A 9,478-nucleotide genomic window follows, 5' to 3' on the forward strand; every position below is an offset into this window, starting at 1 on the left:
TGTTATAATAGTCTGTATTTTCCTGTGTACTTACTATTACCAGTGAGTTTTTACCTTCGGATGATTTATTGCTCATTAACATCCTTTTCTTTCATATTGAGAAAACTCTTTTTAGCATTTTTTGTAATACATGTCTGGTTTTGATGAAATCCCTTAGCTTTTGTTTGTTTGGTAAAGTCTTTGTTTCTTCTTCACGTTTGAAGAATATTTTTGCTGGATATACTCTTCTAGGTTATAAGTTTTTCCGCTTAAGCACTTTAAATATGTCATGCCAGTCTCTCCTGGCCTATAATGCTTCTGCTGAAAAGTCTGCTGCCAGGCATATTGGCACTCCTTTGAATGTTGTTTCTTTTCTCTTGCTGCTTTTAGGATCCTTTATCATTGACCTTTGGGACTTTATTAAATGTCTTGAAATAATCTTTGGGTTAAATCTGCTTGGTATTCTATAACCTTCCTGTACTTAGGAATTGATATCTTTCTCTAGGTTTGGGAAGTTCTCTATTATCATCCCTTTGAATAAACTTTCTAATGCTATCTCTCTTTTTGCCTCCTCTTTAAGGCAATTCACTTTTAGATTTTCCCTTTTGAGGCTATTTTCTAAATCTTGTAGGTGTGCTTTATTCTTTTTTGTTTTTTTTTAAAAAAATCTCTTCTGATTGTGTATTTTCAAATAGCCTGTCTTCGAGCTCACTAATTCTTTTTTCAGCTTAATCGATTCTGCTGGCAGATCCAGAGATGCTGACTGGGAGCCAGGGCCTAGAGTAGGAAACCTTAGGAATTTACTTGGTACTCTATTCTACTGTGGGTGAGCTGGCACCCAAGCCACAAGACAAAGTCCTTCTCACTCTTATCTCCTCTTTCCATAAGCAGAAGAGTCTCTCCTCATGGACACCCCAGACCTGTGGTGAATACTGCCTAACTACTGCCAGTGTTCATTCAAGGCCCAAGGGCTCTTCAGTCAGCTTGTGATGAATGCTGCCAGGCCTGGGACTCTCCTTTCTGGGCAGTGGATTTCCCTCTGGTCCAGGGCAGGTACAGAAATGCCATCCAAGAGCTGATGCCTGGAATCAGCTACCCCAAAAGCTCACTTGGTTCTCTCTCCCAGTGTGGCTTAGGTGGTACCTGAAGTGCAAGACAAAGTCTCCCTTACTCTTCCCTAGCCTTTTATCAAGCAGGAGTCTCTCCCCATTGCCTCCATAGCTAGGAAGGTGCTGGGTCAAAACTGAAGCCAGCACATCTCTTCAGTCTCCTCCAAGACCCATGGCTTACTTCCTGGGTATCACTGCTGATTATTCAGGGCCCAAGGCTCTTTAGTCAGCAGGTGATGAATCCTTCCAGGACTTGGTCCTTCTCTTCAAAGCAGTTGGTTTCCTTCTGGCCCAGGGTGTGTCTAGAAATGTTATCCAAGATCGAAGGCCTGGAATGGGGGGCCTCAGGACTCTGCCTTGTACCCTATCCTCCTGTGGTTGAGCTGGCATCCAAGTTGCAAGACAAAGTCCTCTATACTCTTCCCTCTCTTCTTCTCAAGTGTAGGGAAGGAGTCTCTACTGCAGCTGTGAGCTGTGCTGCTGAGGGTTGGCAGAGAGGTGGCAGAAGCACTCCCTTGGCCACTCCACCTGGTGTCTCATTGGGTAGCATGCTCCCCAAGTCCACCACTGTCTCTGAGCCCAGCACAGCACCAGGATTTGGTCAAGAATTTCAGTCCTTGTGGCCTGGACTGCTTTATTTAGGAACCCCAGAGCATTTAGCCCATGGCAGCAAGACTTGCCAGAAGTCAGGTTCTGATCGCTGGGATGGGTGATTCCCCTCTGGCTAGGGCTGGTTTATATGTGCCTTTTGTGAAAACCTGCTGAGTTTTTTCTATTTTCGCGGTGTTTCTTTCTTCTGTGACAGGGCAGCATTGAGTTCCAATGCAAAGTTCTGCAATCATTGTGTTCTCCTTCCTCCAAGTGCACAGATTCTTTCTCTGCACTATGAGGCTACTTTAGGGAATGGCAGAAGAGTGGCATTGGCAATTTAAGACTGTCTTTCCTACCCTCTTCAATGCCTCCTGCAATAATATGAAGTTAAAACCAAGTACTGTGATTGCTTACCTGATTTTTGGTTCTTATGAAGGTGCTTTTAGTGTGTGGATGTTTGCTCAGTTTGGTGTTTCTGTAGCAGGGATAATCAATGAAGTCTTCTATTTGACCATCTTGCCATGCCTGTCTGTCTGGAGACCACACTCTTGTTTAGCTTCATCCCCTGCCCCATCCTACTTTCCTCATTCCCCTTTTCCTAAAAGGACTTCCTCAACAGATTTTGTGAACTTGAATTCCCATCTCAGGCTCTGCTTCAAGGGAACATGACTCAAGACAACCTATCTTGCTTTCTGACTTTAGCCACTAAAAGCATCTTCCATTTCTACTCATCTTTTCTATTATTTACCCTGTTATCTTTAATCTTACTTCCCTTTAATTCCCCACCATTTGCTTCTTACCTTTTTAGGGCTTCTGATAAGTCTCAGAGTTGCTTCTCCTGGAGACAGACATGTGATGCATCTTTGGTTTGTAGTTGATTGGAATAACCGGAACATGTTTCTTCTTCTTAGCACTGAGCACCCTCAAAGATGCTGCATGAGCTAGAAGCTCATTCAAAGTGAATGTTCCTGATAGAAAGGCCTAGTACTGACAGCAGATTGAGACCCCGCCTTTCTTTTCCACCATCTGTTTGCCTGCTAGAGGCAGGAAGCTTCAGGAGATGGAATGACCTTTTCCAAAGATTTGTTTTCAGTATAGTGTCTAGAGCTTCCCTTTCCCAGAGCTAATCTCTGGAAATAAATAAATTATATTTCTGGTAATAAAAATTGTTCAAGCTGTTCCAATGCTCCCAGAACACCAGAGGGCCACTAAACAAACTGAAGGAGAAGTTGTAGTTTGGTGATCTCCAAATAATAAGACAAACTAAATGTATTTTTGTGCTATATTCATACTCATATTTACAGTTTCATGGCCAAATAAGTAGGATAAACTCTTCCTAAACAAAAACTAAACAGGTTTTACTTTTACTAAAAAAAAATTTACTGCAAGTCTTCTCAGAGATTTTTAAAAAATATGCTAATATACACTAAATCTGGAGGGGCACATAGCATGTAGCACTTACCAAGCTTATTTTATAACACATCTCCTTTTCCTTTTTTCTTTTTAGTAGAACATCTTACAAGGCTGTTATATGAAACGCACAGATACAACCATGCAACAATTGTGATCAACAAATATTTGATCTCTTGAAGACAGCATACTGATGGGTCTTAATTCTTTATTCAGCTTACTATTGCATGGAGGAACATCCCTCAAAATAGTAAGAGCCATTTATGACAAACCCACAGCCAATATCATACTGAATGGGCAAAAAATGGAAGCATTCCCCTTGAAAAGCAGCACAAGACAAGGTTGCCCTCTCTCACCACCGCTATTCAACATAGTATTGGAAGTTCTGGCCAGGGCAATCAGGCAAGATAAAAAAAATAAGGCATATTCAAATAGGAAGAGAGGAAGTCAAACTATCTTTGTTTGCAGATGACATAATCCTGTATCTAGAAAACCCGATTATCTCAGCCCAAAAGCTTCTTAAGCTGATAAGCAACTTCAGCAAAGTCTCAGGATACAAAATCAATGTGCAAAAATTGCTAGTATTCCTATACACCAACAACAGGCAAGCTGACAGCCAAATCACAAATGAACTCCCATTCACAGTTGCCACAAAAAGAATAAATTATCTAAGAATACAGCTAACAAGGGAAGAGAAGGACCTCTTCAAGGAGAACTACACACCACTGCTCAAAGAAATCAGAGATGACAAAAACAAATGGAAAACATTCCATGTTTATGGATAGGAAGAATCAGTATTGTAAAAATGGCCATATTGGCCGGGTGAGGTGGCTCATGCCTGTAATCCCAGCACTTTGGGAGGCTGAGGCAGGTACATCATTAAGGTCAGGAGATCGAGACCATCCTGGCTAATACGGTGAAACCCAGTCTCTACTAAAAACACAAAAAATTAGCCAGGCGTGGTGCAGCACCTGTAGTCCCAGCTACTTGGGAGGCTGAGGCAGAAGAATGGCATGAACCTGGGAGGTGGGGCTTGCAGTGAGCTGAGATCATGCCACTGTACTCCAGCCTGGGTGACAGAGCTAGACTCCATCAAAAAAAAAAAAAGGGCCATATTGATAATAAAAACATTTATAGATTCAATGCTATTCATATTAAGCTACCATTGACATTCTTCAGAGAATTAGAAAAAAACTATTTTAAAATTCTCATGGAACCAAAAAAGAGCCCAAATAGCCAAGGCAATCTTAGGCAAAAAGAACAAAGCTGGAGCCATCATGCTACCTGATACTACAAGGCTACAGTAACCCAAACAGCATGGGACCGGTGCAAGAACAGACACATAGACCAATGGAACAGAATAGAGAACCCAGAAATAAGACTGCACATCTATAACTCTCTGATCTTCGACAAATCTGACAAAAATAAGCAATGGGGAAAGGATTCCCTATTTAATAAATGGTGCTGGGAGAACTGGCTAGCCATATGCAGAAAATTGAATCTGGACCCCTTCCTTACACCTCATACAAAGATTAACTCAAGATGGATTCCAGACTTAAATGTAAAACCCAAAACTATAATAACCCTAGTAGAAAACCTATCCAATATCGTTCAGGACACAGGCATGGACAAAGATTTCATGTTGAAGACACCAAAAGCGATTGCAATAAAAGCCAAAATGGACAAATGGAATCTAATTAAAATAAAGAGTTTCTGCACAGTAAAAGAAACTAACAGCAGAGTAAACAGACAACCTACAGAATGGGAGAAAATTTTTACAACCTGTCCATCTGACAAAGGTCAAATATCCAGCATCTATAAGGAACTTAAACAAATTTACAAGAAAAAAACAACTACATTAAAAAGTGAGCAAAGGACATGAACAGACACTTCTAAAAAGGAGACATACATGTGGCCAACAAACATATGAAAAAAAAACCCAACATCACTGATTATTAGAGAAATGCAAATCAAAACCACAATGGGATACCATCTCACACCAGTCAGAATGGCTATTAATAAAAAGTCAAAAAACAGATGCTGGCGAGGTCGTGCAGAAAAAGGAATGTTTTTACACTGTTGGTGGGAGTGTAAATTAGTTCAACCACTGTGGAAGATAGTGTGGTGATTCCTCAAAGACCTAGAGGCAGAAATACCATTCAGCCCAGCAATCCCATTACTGGGTATGTTCCCAAAGACATATAAACTGTTCTGTTATAAAGATACATGCACACATATGTTCATTGCAGCACTATTCACAATAACAAAAACATGGAATCAACCTAAATGCCCATCATTGATAGACTGGATAAAGAAAATGTGGTACATGTACACCATGAAAAATACTGTGCAGCCATACAAAGGAATGAGATCACATCCTTTGCAGGGACATGAATAGAGCTGGAGGCCATTATCCTTAGCAAATAAATGCAGAAACAGAAGACCAAATACCACACGTTCTCACTTATAAGTGGGAGCTGAATGATGAGAATACATGGACACATTGAGGGGAACAACACACACTGGGGCCTGTCAGAGGGTTGGGGGTGGGACCCTGGGTAATGGGATGATCTGTGCAGCAAACCACTATGGCCTATGTTTACCTATGTAACAAACCTGTATATCCTGCACATGTACCCCTGAACTTAAAAGTTGTATGTTAAAAAAAATATGTCCCTCTTTTTCTTCTTTGGCTAATTTCATATTTGACAATTTCATAACTTGGTCAGGTTAGAAAAGAGTGTATCAATTTTCCTTTGCTGCTGTAAAATAATACCACAAGCTTAATGGCTTAAAACAAAGCCAATTTATTTTTACCTTACAGTTCTATAGGTTAGACAAAACTGGTCTGACACTGGTCTCACTTAGCTAAAATCAAGATGTCAGGAGGGCTGTGTTCTTTTCTGGAGGCTCTGGGAGATAATCAATTTCTTTGCTTTTTCCACATTCTAGAGGCTTCCCACATTCTGTGGCTCATGGACCCCTTCCTCCACCTTCAAAGGTAGCAATGGTGCATCTTTCTGACCATTTTTTCTCCCTGAACACATCCAATAAAGATTCTCCAATTTTAAGGAGGCAGGTAATTAGATTAGGCTCCTTTGGATATTCCAGGATATTCCTGCCATTGTAAGGTCTTCACCCTTCATCACATCTGCAAAGTTTCTTTTGCCTTTTGAGATAACATATTCACAGGTTCTGGAGATTATGATGTGGGCATATTTGGGGGACCATAAATTTACCTGCCACAAATAGCATTAGAATTTTGTTTGGAAGTCTGTTAAGTATGTGTTAAAGAATCCTGGCAGAATTGGCATTTTACAAAATTTCATCCATCAGTAAGGTGTAGTTCAATCTTCATGGTGATCTCCTGGTGACATTTTGAGGTTTCCTTTCATAATTCTATAGACCCTATCTCATTAATTATACTCCTTAAACTTCCATATTGTGTGTTGTTATTGTAAAGAGGATTTCTCTTTGCCCATATTCCTTCCTAGTATATTTTTCTAATAAGTTACCCTGAATGTCCTTAATTCTTTGTGAAAATGTATTCCCTAATGTGATATCAATCTGGCATCCACTCTACAAGGAGAAACATATGCTAGCAATACATAGTGCAGTGTGAATGCAGCTCCTAGGGAGTCAGCCCAGCTATGCCATATTGAGAAATCTCCATTTTCATTATTTATTTGAAAAGATGCAAAAATGCTGAGCACTAAGGTGACCTTCAAAGCTTAAGAAAGGTTGCTGAACACTGTTTGACCTAGTTTGCTCAGTGTCCTGAGCAGAAGGACACCCAGCAGTTCAGGAGCTGCCCTGGCAAAGGGAAGTGGCATATGGGCCTGAGGTTGAGAGACAATGTTTTGCTTAGGGACCTTGCACAGACCCTCTCTCCAAATGATTGATTACTTTCTATTTCAGCAGGTTGCAGTTTGCAATCCACTTCCTTCTGAGTTTTATATTCATGCTGAAAAAAAAAACCTTGTTAGGCAAAGGAAGAATCTCTGGGACTGAGAAACAGGAGACCTGGTTTCAGTCTTAACCAAGAGGTTGATTGAGCCATGTGGTAGTGAGGAGGTCATTTAATTCCACAGAGGATCAGTTCTCTTATTTGTGAACTTGGGAGGGTGGTAGTGATGATAGGATTGGACTAGATCTGTCAGTCTATAAACTGATCAAGAGTTTATAAAAGACAAAATCCATTTGAAGAAGGAACAAAGCATCAATCATTTCAGTTCACATTTTTTGTTTCTTCACATTGATTCTAGGATAACCGTTAGGAGGCAGAAGCTCTTTTTGACCCTGTTACTTTTACTTGAGAGCTAATTCTTATCTCAGTCTGTAGGCCCTTGAGAAGTCTCAAAATTTCCACTTTAAGTAGTGATGGAGGGACTTGACATTCCTACTAAATGACAGATACACAGGATTAAAAACACATCACTCTTCTTACACTGGATCCTCCAGCCTGTGTTCCACAGGAAGCCTTTGCTGCAGAGGCCTGAAGGAGAACCCTTACAGGTTTATCTTCAGGACCCAAATAAAATCTGGGTGGATCTGGCTTGCCAAGTTAATCCTTCTCTTTCACTCTGTTTGTACATTGATCAATCTTGATCTTTTGTCTCTTCACCAACTATTGTTCTTCCCTGCAAACCAGGAGCTCTAATGTCTGACTAGCAGGGAGTGGCCAATGGGATCCAGAGAATGGCTTGGAATAGCAATAACCTCAGTCTTCAACTCATCAGATCACAGTGCTTTTTGTGGCAATTTGACTCATGGCTCATCTTAGTGTCAGTGCTCCATGCATAGAGCTTGGTGGGTGAGGCCCAATCTCATAGGCAGAGGTAGTAAAATGCTGGAATTAGGTACAATTTCTTCAAATTTGAGTTTTCCTTCCTTCTTCATATTTGGAATACTTTTTATCTCCTGTCATAGGAAGCATCCAGACTGCTGCTGGAGGGAAAAGCTGACTTATCAGATAACTCTGCTGTTGTTAGAGGCATTGAGATAACCACTAACCCTTCCCTGGGTTCACAGAATGAGCCAAATGCCTAGAAATTCCAGGGAGCAGGTCATAGCATTGGGCTTGCAGTTGTAACAACAACAACAACAACAACAACAACAACAACAACAACAACAGCAACAGCAACAACACATCTTTATTGAGCATCTTTATAAGCCAGTCACTGTGTATATGGAGACTTAACTTGAAGAGTGCAGACTCTTGTTTGGAATTCAGACACGGAAATATTTAATTTTAGTGTGGCATGACATGAATGATAACAATAAGGCAAATATCTTGCTCTTGACTTGCTAGGCTGAGAAACTAATTTCTGGAAGTCCACTGAGCCTAGTGATGAAGAGAGCCCCTGAGGATTGATACGTTCCTTATATACCAAAATGTGTGGTATTCTATTTCGAGGCTTGAGTAGAGGGCAGGGGCAATTTTTTCTTTTACATTTTTATTTTTATACTTTTTGCAGTATATATTATTTGTATTAAAAAATTTGGAATCAGACAGACTTGGTTTAGGATTCTAGCTTTCTCATTTATTAGCTTTGTGGTCTTGGAAAAGTTTCTTAATCTCTCTGAACTTCATGTTCTCTGTGAAGATTCACTGAGATAATGCACATAATGTTCTTAGTTACTTGTCTGGCACTTACTAAATGTCAGCTCTCATTATTGCTGTTATTATTATTGCCTGAAAATTAGAGCAATGTGACAAAGGGAACTGAGATTTTGGACCTCAATCTGATCAATCAAATTGGGCTATTCAGTGGGGTGCAAGTGATGGGAATCATAACAGAAAGCTATTCTAGTATTCCAGAAAGTCAGGAAACTGTAAGCTGGCATGGTCACAGAGGAACCATCAACTTCAGAGGAAGAACTCAGGGTCTCAGACCACAGGCTGGCAGGTTGCCCTGGCCTAAAGCCCTGGCCTGTAAGAAAGACTAGAGAGAGAGGGGGAAACTCAGAACTGCACTTCATATGAGGAAATCTCCAGAGAGCCCTATGGAGAAGAAAAGGAAAAAATCAATGCTGTTGCACAACCTTGGCTTTTGACAAGAGACTACTTTATATAATAGCATGTCAGAAAAGGAGGAGACCTCAATTTGAGGGCCAAAGGGTTAGAGAGGGTGGCCCAGGTGGGACTGAGCCAAGGCCTCAGCTGCCAGACCAGATCAGAATTCAGAGGTACCAGATGTAGCAGATGGCTGCACCGGCAGGCTGTCTGACTTCCTCGTAAGCTGTGAACATGGGTGGGAGTCAAGCTCTATGTTTCCTTACATAGTTGCATTGAACTGAGTGTAGAAATATGGACCTAAGGGAAGGACTTCCTTAAAAGCATTTTAAAAAAGAAATGAAGATTGAAGGATCTGCATGCAAAAACACAA

The sequence above is a fragment of the Homo sapiens genome, chromosome 3 (genome assembly GCF_000001405.40).
Source record: "Homo sapiens chromosome 3, GRCh38.p14 Primary Assembly".
Lineage (NCBI taxonomy): Eukaryota > Metazoa > Chordata > Mammalia > Primates > Hominidae > Homo > Homo sapiens.